Genomic DNA, 19,953 nt, shown 5'->3' with positions numbered 1-19,953 from the left:
TCTTACAAGATCTGATGGGCTTATCAGGGGTTTCCGCTTTTGCTCCTTCCTCATTTTCCCTTGCTGCCGCCATGTAAGAAGTGCCTTTTGCCTCCTGCCATGATTCTGAGGCCTCCCCAGCCATGTGGAACTGTAAGTCCAATTAAACCTCGTTTTCTTCCCAGTCTCGGGTATGTCTTTATCAGCTGCATGAAAATAACCTAATATAGTAAGTTAGTACCAGTAGAGTGGGGCGTTGCTGAAAAGATACCTGAAAATGTGGAAATGACTTTGGAACTGGGGAACAGGTAGAGATTGGAATAGTTTGAAGGGCTCAGAAGACAGGAAAATGTGGGAAAGTTTGGAACTTCCTAGAGACTTGTTGAATGGCTTTCCCAAAATGCTGACAGCAATATGGACAATAAAATCCAGGCTGAGGTGGTCTCAGATGGAGATGAGGAAGTTGTTGGGAACTGGAGCAAAGATGACCCTTGTTATGTTTTGGCAAAGAGAACTGGTGGCATTTTGCCCCTGCCCTAGAGATTTGTGGAACTTTGAACTTGAGGGAGATGAGTTAGGGTATCTGGCAGAAAAAATTTCTAAGCAGTAAAGCATTCAGGAGGTAACTTGGGTGCTATTAAACGTATTCAGTTTTATAAGGGAAGCAGAGCATAAAAGTTTGGAAAATTTGCAGCCTGACTATGCGATAGAAAAAAAAAAAACCCATTTTCTGGGGAGAAATTCAAGCTAGCTGCAGAAATTTGCGTAAGTAGCAAGGACCCTAATGTTAATCCCCACGACCATGGGGAAAATGTCTCCAGGCCATGTCAGAGACCTTCATGGCAGCTCCTCCCATCACAGGCCTGGAGGCCCAAAAAGGAACAAGTGGTTTCGTGAGCTGGGCCTAGGGTCTGCCTGCTGTATGCGGCCTAGGGACTTGGTGCCCTGTGTACCAGCTGCTCCAGCTGTGGCTGAAAGGGGCGAGAGTACAGCTCAGGCTGTGGCTTCAGAGGGTGCAAGCCCCAAGCCTTGGCAGCTTCCATGTGGTGTTGAGCCCACAGGTGCACAGAAGTCAAGAATTGAGGTTTGGGAACCTCCTTCTAGATTCAGAAGATGTATGGAAATGCCTGGATGCCCAGGCAAAAGTTTGTTGCAGGGGCAGGGCCCTCATGGAGAACCTCTGCTAGGGCAGTGTGGAAGGGAAATGTGGGGTTGGAGCCCCCACACAGAGTCCCTACTGGGGCACTGCCTAGTGGGGTTGTGAGAAGAGGGCCGCTGTCCATGAGTTTATCAGGGGTTTCTGCTTTTGCATCTTCCTCCTTTTCTCTTGCTGCCACCATGTAAGAAGTGCCTTTTGTCTCCCACCATGATTCTGAGGCCTCCTCAGCCATGTGGAACTGTAAGTCCAATTAAACCTCTTTTTCGTCCCAGTCTTGGGTATGTCTTTATCAGCTGCATGAAAATGGACTATACAGTCATTCAGTGTTTGAAAATTTCTTATCCAGGAAGGTATGAGCCAGAAACCCAGCAAGTTTAGTAGTCCACAGAAACCCAGCAAATTTAGTAGTCCACAGACATTGCCTCTAATTCTACTTCACTGGCATTAGAGGAGATATTCCAACAGAGAGGAGAATAGGAATGGACTGTGCATATGGGAGCTTTGCTGGGTAGATGAGTTAGTTCTCTAGAGATTTTTGGGTTCACATTTTTATTAAGGCTAATTTTATTTTTTATTTTATTTATATATTTTTAGAGACAGGGTCTTGCTCTGTCTCCCAGGCTGGAGTACAGTGGTGCCATCATAGCTCACTACAGCCTTGAGCTCCTGGGCTTAAGCAGTCCTCCTGCCTTACCCTCCAAAAGTAGCTGGGACTGCGGCACATGCCACAGGCCTGGCCAATTTTTTTTTTTTTTTTTTTTTTGTAGAGATGTGGGGCTCCCTTTTGTTGCCCAGGCTGGTCTTGAACTCCTGGCTTCAAGCAATCCTCCCACTTTGGCTTCCCAAAATGCTGGGATTACAGGCATGAGCCACCAGGCCCATCCCTAACGTGCATTTTAAAGCCAAACATCATTTGGGATGTTATGCTTTTAGCCGTTGCAGTCCTATTGCTTCTTTTTAGCGCCCAATCCCTATTTGTTAACTATGTTATGTCTGTATTTTAAAATTTTCATTCTTGGGCTTAATACCTAGGTGATGGGTTGATAGGTGCAGCAAATCACCATGGCACATGTTTGCCTGTGTAACAAACCTGCACATCCTGCCCATGTACCCCGGAACTTAAAAAAAAAATTCATTCTTATGTTTATGCCCCAGCCAGGATTGTTTTTGTATCCTAGTGTCTTACACACTTGGAAAGAAAGCCTATTGCTTATTCACAATTAGATACCTAATAAACATTTTAGGGTGTTTTTTTCTACATGACATCTTTGTGTATACCTCTAGCTAGTAAGTAGCTTGTATGTTTAGTGTTTGATTTTACGTATCCCAATTAGATTTCAAGTCACTTGTATCTCTGAACTTTAGTTTTTCATAAAACATCATGTTTTATTGTGCTGATTATTACTTTGGTATTGAAACCTGAATTTTGGTTGTGAAATTTGAGTTTGGTGTTCTTATCTGGTGTGGTTTGGGACTCTCTTCAATACACCTCATTTGAATTAATGCTTAGAGTAATGGAGCTGGAAGGAGTATCTGCTTCTTGTCCAGGTCTCTCATTTATAGAAGGGCAGAGGATACCTAGGGAGGTTAAGGGGCCTGGCCAATGACTCGTTATTTGAAGAAGGATGGAGATGAGAGTTTGTTTCCCTAGTCTCAGTCAAATGCCCTTACCATTTGACCCTCTTGCCTCCCTGTAATGCTGTTGGGTAATAAGGTCAGGTAACTGCATTGGATAGAGCCTGGGTGTGTTTTATTGTGAACTCCCTCTCTTTCTCCTTTTTGTTGTATCTGCCTTAGTGCTTAGCTTCTTTATTACAAATTAGATATTAAATCCTGTTCTCACATTGAGAGCGAATTCTTTCTCCAGAAAGGATAACAAACCTTTTGTTTGAGAGAGATTTTTCACTTTTTGAAATGGTCTGTTTGTTTGAAGTTACAGAAGAAAAATAAGTGTAATGCACAGTTGTATTTATTATTCATGTGACCCTGGAAACATTTCTTCCCCGCCCTGTGTTTCAGTTTCTTCATCTGTAAAATGAGGTTAATAATGGTTCCCCCTTCTAATGTTGTTTTTGAAGATTACATGAGTTAATACATGTAAATTGCTTAGAACAGTGCCTAGCACCTAATATAATGGAAGTGTTGCCTACTGCCTATTGGCAGTTTTCTGTACGGCTTCACCTTCCCTTAGGACTTCTTGTCAGCCCAGTTATGTGATTTTTCACCTCGTTTTTGTTTAGGAGACTCTACTTTGTTGATGTTTTTCTGAGAAACAATGTGCTGTCTGTTTTTCTCTGTTTCCTTTGACATTTGCTGTTCATCTTTCACTGAATATTTGTTTAAGAAAGACATACAGAATGTTAATTTTCATTGATTGTAGCTTTCTTCTTTTTAAGGATTTGGAATGCCCTGACAGATAATTATGGGAATGTGATGCCTGTAGACTGGAAGTCATCGCATACTAGGACCTTGCACTTGCTTACTCTGAACCTCTCAGAAAAAGGGGTAAGTTAGGAATTGAACCAATAGTGTTTGAATAACTGATGCTGATAATAGAACTAAAACAGTAGCATTTCTGCTTAACACAGATTCACTGACCTGCCTCTCATTTCTGAAATTATAGCAGTTTGGGTGGCTCTGTCTTGATGTCTTGGCTGTAGGGCCATCACCTTGCTGGCACATTCCTCCAGTTCTTCTCCAGCACACTCATTTTTTATGTGTAGCTAAATTTCCATCACAATTTTTTTTTTTTTGACGGAGTCTCACTCTGTTGCCCAGGCTGGAGTACAGTGGCTTACTACAACCTCTGCCTCCTGGGTTCAAGCGATTCTCCCACCTCAAACTCCCGAGTAGCTGGGATTACAGGCATGAGCCACCAGTCCCGGCTAATTTTTGTATTTTCAGTAGAGACAGGGTTTCGCTGTGTTGGCCAGGCTGGTCTCGAACTCCTGACCTCAGGTAATTCACCTCCCAGAGTGCTGGGATTACAGGTGTGAGCCACTGCACCTGGCAGTGATGATGCACTGAAACACTCAGTAAAATTTGGTGCACTGAAACCCTCAGTAAAAATGCTAGCCTTTGGTTTAATATACTGAGAGTATTGGAATCTCAACACGGAGTTAACTTTTTAATGAGTGTAGTGACCTGCTAGACATGATATGTTGTCAGGAGACTGTGTATTCCTGTGAATACTGGAGAACCTTTAAAAGATATTTTAGTTCTTGGCTTTTAAAATACGGTCTTGGCTAACTTACCTTTCTTGGGGTCTCCTGTGTACATCCTGGTATTGTAAAGTGAAGATGTCTTGACTAAGAAGTGTGAGCACGAGTGGTGGGACAGGTAGGGAGGCAGAAAAGGGTTGAGAATTACTTGAAATGGAAAATCACAGTGTTAAGCTTTTTTAAATCTGATGAGAAACATATCCAAATTATCTAAGTTTCAGGGCCTGGCTGTTTAAGTTCCTTATCAAATAATAATGTAAACTCATGCCAGATCTTCTTGCGTGCTCTATATTTCATTAAGTGTAATTATGTGATTATTGAGAATATAGTGCAGTAGGCCTGTCACTATTTTACATAGTATTGTTAATGTTTTGTTAAAAGGATTTTCTTACATATGTGATCAGAAAAGCCTACTGTTATTATTTTCTAGTAAAATGTAGAATTCTGGCTGTATTTCCCAGTATTCAGTAGCTATGGAAATCTTCCTGACTGTGCCAGTCATTAATCCCATTAAGCTTTGCAGACTGACCTGGCATATATTTAATGAAAAGGAATAAAATGAGGGATCTTTTGCTCTGTCTTGTTTACTTAGGTCCTGGCTATCATTTTGGGCTTAGTTCAAGTTTCCCTTCCTCTCTGAAGCTTCCTATTACTGTTTTAGCCTTTGCTGATCTCATGGAATTATACAATTTTAGAGTTGGAAGGGGCTTTAAAGGACACTTAATCCAGCCTCTCACTTGGGGGGAATCCTCACCTCCAGCATCTCTGACAGATGGTCATTTAGCCATGGCCTAAATTCCTGCACGGAAGGAAAACACACTCCCCTCTAGGGGAACTGATGGCACTTGTGGGGTTGTGAACTTTGAAAGGACTTGTTATCTGTGCCACGGGGTTTAGCCTTGCTGTCTCATGGGTGCTAGTCCCCAGATCACTTTGTCCCTGTCTCTAAAATTACCACTGCCTTCTCTTGTTAATCATATGTTTCTGGGTCTGTCACTAGATTGTGACTTCCCGGCAGGTATTTGTATTTGTCTTTATAGTAACTATACTGTTCCTGGCACATAGTAAGTTTGAAGATACCTTTTTATTGAGTGAATAAGTGAATAGCCTTGTCAGTGAAACTGTAGGGCCAGAGATCGTGATAGAAAGGTTTTAAAAAAATATTTTCTATGTTATTTAAAATAATGCAGAATGCACCAAAACCAGTCCATGGGTACTACTTTTTTGACATATTAAAAAATAGCATAGAAGAGTTTCCATTCATAGTTTCAAAGTCAGGCCCATTAGCAGCGTGAGTGAGACAGTTTAATCCAATTTCATTGACTAAATGTACAGCGGGCCCACCATATTCTCTGGTTTCACATCTGCTGCTTTAGCCAACTGTGGATTAAAAAACTTGAAAAAAAAACCCCACAATAAAATAACAACACAACAATTGAAAATAATGAAAATAAAAAACCGAAAACCGATACAATATAACTTTATAATATAAATATTGTATAGTTATATACAATATAACTATAAACCATTTACCTTGTATTAGGTATTATAAGTAATTTACATATAATTTAAAGCTTATAGGGGGATGTGCACAGGTTATATGCAAATACTACCCCACTTTATATAAGGGACTTGAGCATCTGCAGATTTTGCTATTGGGGTGTCCTGGAACAAATTTCCCTTGGATACCGAGGGACTGCTGTATGTCTTGTATTGTTCTTAGATTGCATCTTGGGAGGTTGCTCCCTTTTGCTGCCTTTTGAATGTTATTTTCAATGCCACGGTAATGATATGGCCAAGGCAGTGATTAGTAATGACGTAGAGTTTAATGCTAGTACTGACATTAAAAAGCCTTACCTGGCTGGGCGCGGTGGCTCATGCCTGTAATCCCAGCACTTTGGGAGGCTGAGGTGGATGGATCACCTAAGGTCAGGAGTTTGAGACCAGCCTTACCAACACGGTGAAACCCCGTCTCTACTAAAAATACAAAATTAGCCAGGCGTGGTGGCGCATGCCTGTAATCCCAGATACTTGGGAGGCTGAGGCAGGAGAATTGCTTGAACCTGGGAGGCAGAGGTTGCAGTGCGCCGAGATCACGCCACTGCACTCCAGCCTGGGTGACAGAGCGAGACTCTGTCTCAAAAAATAAAAAAAAAAACAGCCTTACCTGGAAAAACTCAGCAGATGAAAGTGAACACGTGATCATTCACCTATCATCTCTCTGTTGTGACATGACTATTCTGGTGATGAATAGAATTGAAATCAGAACTCTGTTTCTCAGGGAGGATTAGCACACACTGAGTTTCTGAAAAACAAATGGGCAATAAGGACTATGTAAGAAGTCATCACGTCATTCTATTACATGGTATATAATTAAGCATTTTTTTTTTAATCTGGCAAAGTGACTGTATTTACCATTGCCACCTGGTGCTCTGTTCGTGCCGTGACTAAGCTATGTAAAATTTACCCTTTGAAAGCATTCTTTAGATTATTTTACTTATAAAACCAAGTGTATAGAAATTTTTTTTGACAAAAGAAGAATGGTTTTTGCATTAAAAAGAGAAAAACATTCAGGAAAACTAGTTTGCTAGATTGCAGTTTTAAATTTTTCTTTGATTGAAGATTAAGATGGCACACTTCTAAATTTGATATGTCTTTTTTAGAGTAAGGCAACTGGTATCTTTCAAATTCTTACGTGGGCACATTTTTTCCATTTGATGTATCTTCAGTTTTATACAGGGAAACAGTACCACCAGGTCTGTATCTAACCCTGGCATTGGAAGGAGTGATGGGAATGCTTGGCAAAGAGAAGGCACATTTAATGCTGAAGGGAGGAGTGAATAATGATACCCATGACAGCCAGGGCTAGTTTGCAAAGCCTGAAAGATATTCCAGCTCTTAGCATATGCCATCTCTGTGGGGAATGGACTTGGCTCTCTCTCTGGAAAGATGATCTGGGATCATTTCTGTTGTCATGGAAATTTATTATAATAGTTTACTGTTATTACTCATGTGTTTTGGCCATAACCCTATTCTAAATCTGGTGCCATTCTTGAATATACTTATATGATAGAATGCTTATCATTCATTTCAGCTTAAGAACATCTTCTGTGCTGTATTTCTCCTTCCATGTGCATTTCTTTCAGGACAGGGACTTTTGTATGCATCTTTATACCTTTAAGAGTAGAAATAAGAAAAAGATAATGTCTTCCACAGAAGCAATTTGATTGATTGATAGATTGAGAGAGTGTCTCCCTCTGTTGCCCAGGCTGGAGTACAGTGGCGCCATCATAGCTTACTGCAGCCTCCAACTCCTGGGCTTAAGCGATCTTCCCGCTCCAGCTTCCTGAGTAGCTAGACTACACACGAGTACCGCCATGCCTGGCTAATTTTAAGAAAATATATTTCTGTAGAGACGAGGTCTTCCTGTGTTGCTCAGGGTGGTCTTGATGTCCTGACCTCAGGAGATCCTCCCACCTTGGCCTCCCAAAGTGTTGGGATTACAGGTGTGAGCCATGGCAACCTGGGCTTCCTTAGGAGTAATTTTTTTTTTTTTTTTTGAGACATGGTCTGGCTCTGTTGTCCAGGCTGGAGCGCAGTGGCACCATCTTGGCTCACTGCAACCTCCACCTCCTGGGCTCAAGTGATCCTCCCACCTCAGCCTCCTGAATAGCTGGGACTACAGGCATGTGCCATCATGCCTGGCTAATTTTTTGTAGCAATGGGGTTTCACCATGTTTCCCAGGCTGTTCTCAAACTCCTGAGCTCAAGCAATCCACCCGCCTCAGCCTCCCAAAGTGCTGGGATTACAGGCATGAGCCACTGTGCCCACCCCGGATTAATTTTAAAATTAAAACTTTTAGTATTTATAAGCCAGAAGGGGAAAAATAAAACAAAATCATGGTCCTCAAGTTGCAACATAGGAAGAGTGATTGGGAAGGGGGTGTGAAGTGTTCGAAGTGTAAGGATCGATGAAACTAATCGGTAGGTCTACTCCATGGTATCGACATGCCTTTGTGATCACAGTGTGCCACATTTTCATCTTCTACAGTATAGAAATCATACATCCCCTCTCATCAAGAGCCTAGTCTCTTGATCTTTCTCCTTCTTTAAAAAATTAAATTATTAAAGGAACAGCTGTCATAGTTTAAAAAGTAAATTAGAACTATAGGACTTAAATGAAAAGGCAGTCTCTGCTCCACTTGATTTCTCCTTACCAGAGGTGGCCACTTTAAATGATATCAGCTATTTCTTTTAGCAGATAACATGCTCATGCCATTTTACTTGATATTATTTTCTCAATTTTAGACTTTATTTATTTTCTACCCAGAGGGTGAAGGTTTAGCTCTCTTCTGTCCTTTGCCAATCCCTGACACTATACCCTCCCAAAAACTTCCCTTTCCCCATCTTCCCAATGTAATTACATAACATCTGGGGTTGAATTAATCTTCATCATTTATATTTACTATTTAAATGTGCACAGTTGACCCATTATGATATATTATGTTTACATTTTCTCTTTTTCTACTTAGGTTTTTTCTTAGGATACTACCTGCCTTTTTGTGGTTTATTTAGTTTATAATTAGCTGACCAGTTCAGCCTCAATAGAGCCGTAGAACTCATTTTAGTAAATGGACCGCACTAGGTAATCTATCTAGTCCTTCTGCTCTCCCTCCCCACCCACCTCTCCCTCTTCTCCATGCTCTCTGCAATAAAAATTCTAATCTGAATGTTACTCTCTAGTGTAGCTTTACAGTCATCATTCTGGGATTTTCACTTTACTATCATTACGAGAATTCTCTTTGTCACTTGTTATTAGACCACATATCTTTTTTCTTTTTCATTTTCCTCCTGGTAGCTTTTTGAGAAAGGGCACATGAGAGGTAAATTTTTTCAGAACTTGTATGTCTGAAAATGTCTTTATCCTAGCCCCTGCCTACTTGTTTTAGCTGGATATAGGATTCTAGGATGGAATTTCTCCAAACATGGAAGTTACATCGATTATTTTCTAGCATCTATTGTTGCTATTGAGAATTCACTTGACATTTTGATTCCTGATCCTTTTAATGTGATTTTTTTTTCCCTCCCTGGAAGCTTTTAGATTCTCCTTTTTTCCACACAGTGTTCTTAGTTCATGATGCTGTGTTGAAGGTCATGGCCAGGCCTTTGCTAGGCTGATGGTGCAGTAAGAAATAAAATGAGAAGGGCTGTCGTCACTGCGCAGGAGCCTGGAGTTGCATTATAGGGTTGTAGGTGGACCGTGCAGTGTTGATGGGGCCCTTCTCCCAGCCTAATGTTGGAAAGTCAGTGTGCCAGTGCTTCTTCCCTTGGCCCTTCTCACGTGCAGGTTTCTTACTCTGTAGGCTGTGTTCACCTGCAAACTTCAGATGCTCATGTTATGAAGAACTAGGGAAGCAGTAGGAACCTACATCCATTCCATTGTGTCCTCAGCTTTAGACATATATCCTCTGCATGGATAAATAATTTTGCCAGGTAAAATTTTATCATGTTAGTTCTACACTATGTAATAGAATGACATGGTGGCTTCTTACGTAATCCTTGTTGCCCATTTATTCTTTGGAAACTCAGTGTGTGCTAATCCTTCCTGAGGAATAGAGTTCTAGTTTCAGTTCCATTCAACACCTGAATAGTCATGTCATGACAGATAGGTAGATGATAGACAGATGTTCCCTTGTTCATTTTAATCTGCTGAGTTTTTTCAGGCAAAGTTTTTACAATCAGTACTGGTACTAAACTCTAAGGCTGTTTATATTGGTGTGGGCAGGGTTAAGGGAAACAAACTTGATGTGGTGCAATCCCCCAGGGCTGGCAACAGAAACTGGTACTTTAGCAGTCCTGGGCATGAAGAGGTAAGGAGAGGGAGAAATTACCATAAACTGTTGAGATTGGCCTTGTGGGAGAAGTCTGCTAATCAGAGCTATGGCTTTGGTGAAGAGCCATAGTCAACAAATGACAGTCTGACAGGGAGGAAGACAGCAAAATACATGCCCAGCCTTCACCATCCCACCTTCCAGTCTGCCAGTGTCTGCCAATGGGGTTTAACCCACCTGGAAGCCAGACAGCAAGGGCATCCTTTGATGTCTTCCATAAAGGTCGTCCTCCTGGAGCGCAGAGCAGGGTGGAAGATGGTGAGGAGGTGAGTGGTGAATCACCAGCTTAGTTAGGTTTAAAGATGTTTTTGGAACCTAGGGTTATTATTTTTTGTTAAGAAGGAATGTGCAATTGGAAGGGCTAAGTGTGACGCTCATGGACAGATCCCGCCTTTCAGGGAGTTGATCATCTTTTACTCAGATATTAGAAGTTAGTTTGCAAGTAACTAACTTTTATGTTTTCTTTAGAATGTTAACGTCTACCAATCTTAGTGTGTGTTGCTAACCCTGCCCATATTCTCCCTTCTATTCACTGTAATTCCCTATGACTTGCTAATGAATACCGTATTTTTTTCTGCATATCTGTCAGCTTTTATAGCAGTCTTATGCAGCATCTCAGTGATTTCATATTTATTCTACATTCTTCTCATTTCTGTTCAAGATGAATATATACTCATTGCCTGGTACAGAGTGATTGTAATAATTTCTCCCTCTTGAGGGAAGGCTCTTAGTAGTTGCTTTTCTCTGCAGCCTCTTTTACTCAGAGCTGTTAACTTTGTTTTGATGAGGATGTCCTGCTTTTAATGATGGGTATTTTTGTTTTTAGGTAAGTGACAGTTTGCTCTTTGATACATCAGATGATGAAGAGCTGAGAGAACAGCTGGATATGCACTCAATCATCGTCTCCTGTGTTAATGATGAACCCCTCTTCACGGCAGACCAGGTATAGAGGAGATCCTCAGCAACGCAAGGAAAGGAGACTCTAGAGCTGAAAAACGGCTTCTTGTTATGACAGTAAATGATGGCTGTTGGTTTACTTATCTTTCCTATTTTTTTCTGGTTATACAGGCTTAATAGTTAACTCTTCCACAGAGAAAAATAAGTATTTGTGATCTGAAGCAGAAGGGATTATGTTAGTTGGGAAGGTTTCCAACAGAGGCCTTGTTGAAGATTATAGCAAGGTACCAAGGAAAGGTTGTTGCTTAACCCCAAACCAGAAAAATATTGTGAATTTCCTTGTTTCTTTAGATTTACCCAAACACGGACAAACTGTAAAGTATCTGTGTAGAAATTATTTAGTATCTTCAAAACCCTGGGTAAAAAGCATTAGCATGTATTAAAGTAACATATTGTGTGCCCCAGAAAGAAGTGAGCATTATTCCCGTGGAATGCGCTAATAAGGTCAACCCTGTATTCACTTAAAACCAGTCGAATCAGCTTTCTCATTTTCTGAATACTCTTCCCACCTCTGTTGTATTGTTGAAATGTGATGCCAGAACTTCTTCCTGAAATAAAATGTTCCATGGCTACTCGGACTGTGAGTTCTACCACACTCTATTTTTAGGCTGGAAAGATGAGATCAGTAAGGAGATACATTATGGCAAGCTTGGGAGGAGTACATTAAAAATTTACATTAAAATTGTGTTATTTGGATCCTCCTTAGTCATATTTGTGGTTGAATTGTTCTAGGCGTGGGAAGAATGTGGTGCTTAAAAAAGCAAGGTAATAGTAGGTTGGAAGGTTGTTTTGAGGTAGAGGGTAATCTAGGGATAGACATGACCTTGAGAATTCATTGTCCCCTCACTGACCTGCCTAATACCGTAAACTCTCCCTTTTTTTAAGAGTTAGAATAACAGATTCTGTAGGATCCTTGAGTGGCTCATTGTACCTTATTATATTTCCTGTTTTGGAGACTCTTCTTATAATTAACATAATCCCATCTCCTTCAGATTTGCCTTTGTTTTTCCTTGGTGGAAATCTTACCTGTTAAGCTTGTTAATTCATAAAGCATGGAAATATGCTCATGATGTCTTACTCCTTCATTTAATTGTGTTTAATTTTTTTTTTTAACTTTAGGTCCTTTTTTCTAACTATTGAGTAATTTTCCTGGGTTTCCTTTACATTTTCGCTGAGTTCTATATCCTTCTCAACTTTTAGAATCTGGAAAAGGGCAAGATACTGTTGTAAGATTTGAGCAGCACTGCACTAGACAGTAGATCATTGTTTAAAGTCAAATGTATTTCTGAAGTTTTTCTGCTTTTCACAGCATTTTTCTCTTTGGACTTCTACTTTTTGAGTAATTTAAAAAATCCCTTTTTTTCGTTGAATTAATATATAAAATTATTTTTCTGCTGTTGAAAGAATATTTTGCTGTCATAGAGGTAATTTCCCATTTATATATACTTTTTTTGTGCTATTGTATTTTATAAATTTTATGTCAGAATTTTTGATGAGATACCTTTAAATTGAGCACTTGTATGTCTATGGTAAATTTTCTGTTATTTGCTTTCTTCTAACGATTACTGTATGATCTAGCTCTGGTGTGTCTGAAGTAAATTATTATGTGTTTGTAGCACGATTACCTAGACTTTGCAAGACATGTTAGGGCCTTCTGAATCATGATGGACGTAGTAAATCCAATTCTATTTAGGTTTGTGTTTAGTATATTGTAATTTTTTCTTGATAAACCATGTTCACTCCTACAGTAAAAATTTTGATTATTTGGAGCATCCACACCTGAACACCATTGGTTAATGGAGAATTCAGTGCATTTCTGCTCTGGGTGCCTTAGGTGAGCACTGTGTTCCAGATAGATCATTTTCCTTTTGTATATTTGATTAACAGTGGTGTGTGTGTTTTCGAAGGTTATTGAAGAAATTGAAGAAATGATGCAGGAATCACCGGACCCAGAAGATGATGAAACCCCTACACAGTCAGATCGGCTTTCAATGCTTTCCCAGGAAATTCAAACTCTCAAGAGGTCTAGTACCGGCAGTTATGAAGAGAGTAAGGGAGCCTGCTGAAATCAATGATTTCTGTGCTTTTTGTCTGTATCAAATGTATAGTATGATCATCTCCAGAAAGCTTTGATTTCATCCTCCTTCTGTTTGTGTTTGTGTCCAAATTTACATTTTTGTTGTTGTTGTTGAGACGGGATTTCACTTTTTGGCCCAAGCTGGAATGAAGTGGCATGATTTCAGCTCACTGCAACCTGTGCCTCCCGGGTTCAAGCAATTCTGCCTCAGCCTCCCAAGTAGCTAGGATTACAGGTGCCCGCCACCACGCCTGGCTAATTTTTACATTTTTAGTAGAGACGGGGTTTCGTCATGTTGGCCAGGCTGGTCTCGAACTCCTGACCTCATGATCCGCCCGCCTTAGCCTCCCAAAGTGCTGCAGTTACAGGCGTGAGCCACCATTGCCTGGCCCCAAATTTCCTCTTACAAGGACAGCAATCATATTGGATTAGGGTCTATCCTAATGACCTTATTTTAATGTAATTACCTCTTTAAAGACCATATACTGTAACATTCTGAGGTACTTGGGGTTAGGACTTCAACACATGAATTTTGGGGAGGACACAATTGAGTCTATAAGAAACCCCATCATATTTGAAGTGTAGAATAGATATTCAGTAATTATTTGTCAAATGCAATTCCTGTTTGTACAAATAGTCTTGTGTGTTACTATGAAGAATTTTGGGAACCATGGATCTGTTTGACATATGTGAGAATAATGAACTCTAGAAACTCTACAGTTGATTTTCATGAAAAATGTCTGAATAAATATAACCAGCCTGTGAACAGCCTGAGGCTGGTTGGAAGGTGTGTATCTAATCATTGCCATATGACTGGTCCCTTCCTTGAATAGGCACTGATGGGGTCTGTATCTGCTCAACTCGTGTTGTCACCTAGTTTTATCTTTATGGCATGCCCAGTCCAAAGCTTAGTTACCTAAAGACCTTTGGGTTGTATGGCTTCAACATACAGATGGTCAGACAGACCAAATTCTTTCAGATGGTCTGATTTGGCCATGTTCCTGTAGGTATGGGCTAAACAGTGTTAACGTCCTGACTCCCAAATACAGTCCTGATACCTGATACAGATACTAAAATCTGTATTGGTTTGCTAGGGCTGCCAGAACAAAGTACCACAGAGTGGGTGGCTTAAACAACAGGAATTTATATTCTATAGTTCTGGAGGCCAGAAGTCTGAGATGAAGGTGTTGGCAGGTTTGGTTTTTTTCAGAGGCCTCTCTCCTTGACATGCAGATGGCTGCCTTTTCCCTATGTCTTCACGTGGTCTTCCTACTGTGTCCTGATCACCCTATTTTATAAGAATACCAGTCATGTTGGGTTAGGGCCTATCCTGATGCCCTCATTTAACCTTAATTTACCTCTTTAAAGACCCCCTCTCCACATTCTGAGGCCCTGTGGGTTGGGACTTTAACAGTGTCCTATCTGTCACAAGGGGCAGAAGTGCTGAGAAAAGACTGAAATGGGGTTTCAGGGAATATTGTTCCCTTTTGTCTTCCCAGTTTTTTTAGTCCATTCTTGCACTGCTATAAAATGCCTGAAACTGGGTAATTTATACGAAAAGAGGTTTAATTGGCTAATGGTTCCACAGGCTATACAGGAAGCCTGGTAGCATCTGCTTCTGGGGGGGCCTCAGGGAGCTTTTACTCATGGTGGGAGGCAGAGCTGGAGCAGGTATCTTCACATGGCTGGAGCAGGAGGAAGGGGGCTGGGGGGAGTGCCACACACTTTTAAACAACCAGGTCTCATAAGAACTCTGTCATGAGAACAGCACCAGGGGGATGGTACTAAACTGTTAGAAATTGCCCTCATGATCCAGTGACCTCCCACCAAGCCCCACCTCCAGCATCACATTTCTGTATGAGATTTGGGTGGGGACACAGATACAAACCATATCACCAATTTCAACAAAATTCACAGATCAGGACTTATGTAATTAAGTGTATATTTAGTTTAATTCTTTCAGATCAACTCCTTTCCTGTTCAGAGATATCCCAGAACCCTGCTGAACGGCTTGCAGTTTTTTGTCAGCAGGTGGATTCTGTACTTTCCCTCGACTTTTGTGTTTGTTCTTTTCCGTGTACAAGCCTTCACAGTCTTGACTGAAGTATTATTCATGCAATGATTTATTTGCACAAGTAAAAACTTTTGTTAGACTTTCTTGCCAGCAAGCTGAGAAGTGACTCACCTGCCCACTTACCTCTACTCAGATCTGATCTCCAGAAGTTGTAGAATTCTGAGAAGATCACCCACAGTCAATTTAATTGCTTGGAATATGATTTTTGCTCTTTGGCATTGATTACATAGGTGTTTATTTAGTCATTCCTAGTGACTACTCTGTTTTGCTTCCTTGAAATGTTTTTGTCTTAATATCTGCTGTATTTTGCTTTTGGTCACAGGAGTGAAAAGGCTCTCAGTGTCTGAGTTAAATGAAATCCTGGAAGAAATTGAGACTGCCATTAAGGAGTACTCTGAGGAGCTGGTGCAGCAGTTGGCTTTACGAGATGAACTGGAGTTTGAAAAGGAAGTGAAAAACAGCTTTATTTCTGTTCTTATTGAAGTGCAAAACAAACAGAAAGAGCACAAAGAAACAGCAAAAAAGAAAAAGAAACTAAAAAATGGCAGCTCTCAGAATGGGAAGAATGAGAGAAGTCATATGCCCGGCACAGTAAGTGATGTTTTGCAGGAGGCGTCGAACACTGGAAACAGGTTCTGTGGTAGTCCCAGCCTTTGGGGCTGGTGGCAGGTGCGACAGGTTGTACATGGGCAGGAGTGTTAACACTTCTAATCAGAGCCCAGTGGGATTTTATTCCAGAATACCGCTGTGCTCAGCTTCTTCAGAAAGTCGTTTTCTTGACTAGGGTGTACTGGTTATCTGAATAATACTGAAATGTTTAGCAAGGATGTAAGTGGAAGGAAGAGGGGGCAAAAAAGGAGAATGTCTTGAAGAAAAGAAGCTTTAGCAAGTGAACATTTTTACCACATCAAAATGTGAAGAGTGGTTATGTATATTTGGCTAGTAGTTTTTTTCTTATTTTTGCTGAACTCTTACGAGTTGTGTGATAAGAAATTAGAAGGGGTTTATTTAGAGGTATCAGAACTCTGCTCAAGGCACAAATTGTTTGTAAACAGGTTCCTCCTGATTTTTCAGTGAGGTTGGAATACAAGAAGGTAAGTGACATCAGCCATGTGGCCTAGTATTTGGCAGACTAGACTATTTCTGACTGGTGAAAACAAGTTTAGAACATCTGAAACGCTGACCCTTTGATAAGATTTTTTTGTGTTGAAGTCTTGTGTATTCCCACCTTGATTTTGTTTGTGTGTGAAGAAATGTTGGTTTTATTTTTAGAGTATGATGGTTGGGTAAAGGGATCTCTTTTTCTAAATGGGACATCTCTTTTTAATTTGTGATATCAATAACATGGTCTTACAAATCACAAACTAGCTATTATGGCTTGCAATAATATGAGTTCTGTTTTTGATAAAGTCTGATTTACTTATCTAAAGAATACTTAGCAGAGAAATAGATCTCATTAAGCAGATGCTGATGGAATCCTGGAAATACAGTTCTAGGATGGTGGGCCACCAATGAGCAGTTAACACAAAAAGAGTCTTACCATATAGCTCATTTATTATGCTGTAATTAGCCTATGAATAAATCCATTTTTTTCAGTGTAATGTTCATTTGTATCTATTTTGAAAGGACATCGTGGCTGGGCACGGTGGCTCGCGCCTGTAATCCCAGCACTTTGGGAGGCCGAGGTGGGCTGATCACCTGAGGTCAGGAGTTCGAGACCAGCCTCAACATGGAGAAACCCCGTCTCTACTAAAAATATAAAATTAGCCGGGTGTGGTGCTGCATGCCTGTAATTCCAGCTACTCTGGAGGCTGAGGCAGGAGAATTGCTTGAACCCAGGAGGCGGAGATTGCGGTGAGCCAAGATCGTGCCATTGCCCTCCAGCCTGGGCAACAAAAGCGAAACTCCATCTCAAAAAAAAAAAAAGGACATTGCTTATGCACTGACTTTGAAAAAAGTTCTCAGGTATCTATTATTTTTAAGAAATGGCAGTATTGATTGAATAGGTGTTTATTTAGTTATTCCTAGTGAGTACTCTGAAAAAAACCCAAAACCAACCCACATTTGTTTGAATATACAATCCTAGAAAATTTGCTTTAAAATATTAGGGACACTATTTTGCATTTGCATCTCATATTTTTAGAACTGGCACCCTTTAAATTGCCCTGTTATGCAAGTGAGATTAAATAAAATGCTTAGTTAAAAAGTCATAGCATGGTTGGTAATTTCTGCCTATTTGCTTTTAGGGATTACATGTAAATCCTCCATTTATTGCTGTTAACACTTGGCTGAGAAAAGTAAATTTATCCCTAGAGGGGTTTAAAGGCTTCGTTTTGTAACTCCCATGTAAAAAGGGTTAGAGTAAATCTATTGTGTAATTTTACATGGCATTTATATTGAGAAATGGATTTGGCAAGGCAACAGTTAGGTCTTACTTCAGCCTTCATTGGTCTTGAAATAGATTCATAGTAACAGTAAATATTTTTCATAATATTTGAACTTTTGAAGTTGCATTTTGCCTGATTTACAATTTGTGTCAAAAATTTTAATCAGTTCAGTAATGGCACGGCTAAGCTTGCAGTACTAGTTTCCTGTATCCTTTTAAAGCCTAAAATGCGGCCGGGCGCGGTGGCTCACGCCTGTAATCCCAGCACTTTGGGAGGCCAAGGTGGGCGGATCACCTGACGTCAGGAGTTCAAGACCAGCCTGGCCAACATGGTGAAACTCCGTTTCTACTAAAAAATACAAAAATTAGTTGGGCGTGGTGGCGCATGCCTGTAATCCCAGCTACTCGGGAGGCTGAGGCATGAGAATCGCTTGAACCCAGGAGGCGGAGGTTGCAGCGAGCCAAGATTGCTCCACTGTACTCCAGCCCGGGCAACAGAACGAGGCTCTGTCTCAAAAAAAAAAAATAAAAAGCCTAAAATGCCAGGGAAAGACCTTCCTATCTGTGACACAAGTAGGCTGGAAGGGTGATTCTGAAAATAGTGGTAGGTTGCTCAAAAGAAACCCAAAGTGAAATAGGCAGTTGGATAAACAGATTCCAGGAGCTTGCCAAACATTTTACCAAGCATTTTATATCACATGCAGTCTTGGCAAGACCTGGTCTCTATGAGTTTGCTATTATCAGTGATACTAATTCCTAAAAAATGGTGACCTCCTTAGAATTGTCATATGTTACCTGTTTTTCCAATAACATAAGTCACTTTTTTTTTTCTCCTGCCTGAGATATTTTTGTTTTATTAGCAGGACTTGAAGTTTTTCGTTAAGTATAGAATAGCTTCCATTTTTCTTCATGTATGTTTCACTGAAGCAGTACATCAATTTGTAGTTGGCATACCACTTAATCTAAAATTGTTACCTTGTTCTCTTTGGTCCAAAGATACTCTAATGAAATATTGGAGTGGGTATAGAGCAGAGTTAAACTTGGAGACAGATTTTGTTTTAAATATTTGTTGTGGTGAAAAAAAAAATAGAGGGCATAGGGATGCTATTTAGAGCATTGGAAAATTTCATTAGACCATGAAAATATGTGAAATGTTACAGAAAGTATTATCTTATAAAAGTGAAATATGATTTTGATTGGAGTTTTAGGTTTAAAATAACCATAATGCTGTATGTTGGGTAAGATGAAACAATATTCATTCATTCAGCAAGGATTTGTGGAGTGCTTTCCTGTGGCAGGTGTTCTTCAAGATACAGTGGGCAGGATGACTCATGATGGTAATTCTAGGACTTTGAGAGGCTGAGGTGGGAGGATTCCTTGAGCCCAGGAGTTTGAGGCCAGACTGGGCAATATAGTGAGACCTTGTCTTTACAAAATAAAAATTATAAAATTAGCCAGGTGTGGTGGCATGCACCTGTAGTCCCAACTACTTGGGAGTCTGAGGCGAGAGGATTGCTTGAGCCCAGGAGGTTGAGGCTGCAGTGGGCCATGGTCACACCACTCCACTTACAGCCCGACCTTGTCTCAAACAAAAAACAGAAAAACCACAGTGGTGAATAGAATAGAATAGATGAGGCCCATCCCATGCCTTCCTGGAGCTTATAGTCTAATGACGGAGAAAGGCAATAAACAAGGAAAAAATGAATAGATGATGGAATTTTAGTAGTAAATAAAGGCCATGAAGAAAACCAAAGGCTGGGTGAGGTGGTAGATGGTGATGCTGTTGGGAAGCTGTTTTGGAGAGTGTCACTACACCACTGCTTCTCCTCATTGACAAGGGAGCCTGCCTAGTCCCTTTCCAATTCTCCGTTTGAAGAGGAGGTTAAAGGAGTGGACCTCTTTGGGAAGTGCAACTCAAGAGAGTGGCAGGCTTTATATTTCCTCTGTCCTTTTTTGCAGCATCTGGAGGAGCAGAGGATGGGGGGTTAGAGAGTGGTTAAAGGGCACTGTCTGTTTATCACTATGGTGACCTACATGTATTTCTTTGTGCTGACCATGCTGTTTTGGGTGACACTTCTTTATATTCAATGCTCTTCTTCTGGAATCAAATTCCTTACCTGCTGCTTCTGTCCACTTGGGGGATTTTTTTTTTTTCTCACTCATCCTTTAAAATCATGGCCAAGCATTGTCTTCCTTTCTTAGAACCTTC

The 19,953-nt window shown here is 40.5% G+C and overlaps 1 protein-coding gene across 3 annotated transcripts in view; it reads left to right on the top strand.

Annotated features, from left to right (window-relative positions):
• FEZ2 (fasciculation and elongation protein zeta 2) overlaps positions 1–19,953 on the top strand; it is a 45,911-nt gene that overhangs the window by 3,623 nt on the left and 22,335 nt on the right. For all 3 annotated transcript variants that reach the window (XR_244972.4, NM_005102.3, NM_001042548.2), the window contains exons 2-5: positions 3,535–3,643; positions 11,077–11,193; positions 13,115–13,256; positions 15,681–15,949. Coding sequence is in view for 2 of the 3 variants with exons in the window: in NM_005102.3 (NP_005093.2) it covers positions 3,535–3,643; positions 11,077–11,193; positions 13,115–13,256; positions 15,681–15,949 (637 nt within the window). In the remaining variant the exon portion in view is untranslated. The remainder of the gene's footprint in view (positions 1–3,534; positions 3,644–11,076; positions 11,194–13,114; positions 13,257–15,680; positions 15,950–19,953) is intronic.

This window comes from Homo sapiens, chromosome 2, assembly GCF_000001405.40.
Source record: "Homo sapiens chromosome 2, GRCh38.p14 Primary Assembly".
Taxonomy (NCBI): domain Eukaryota; kingdom Metazoa; phylum Chordata; class Mammalia; order Primates; family Hominidae; genus Homo; species Homo sapiens.
The sequence above is the reverse complement of the archived record's forward strand: the minus strand, read 5'-3'. Positions and strand labels throughout refer to the sequence as shown.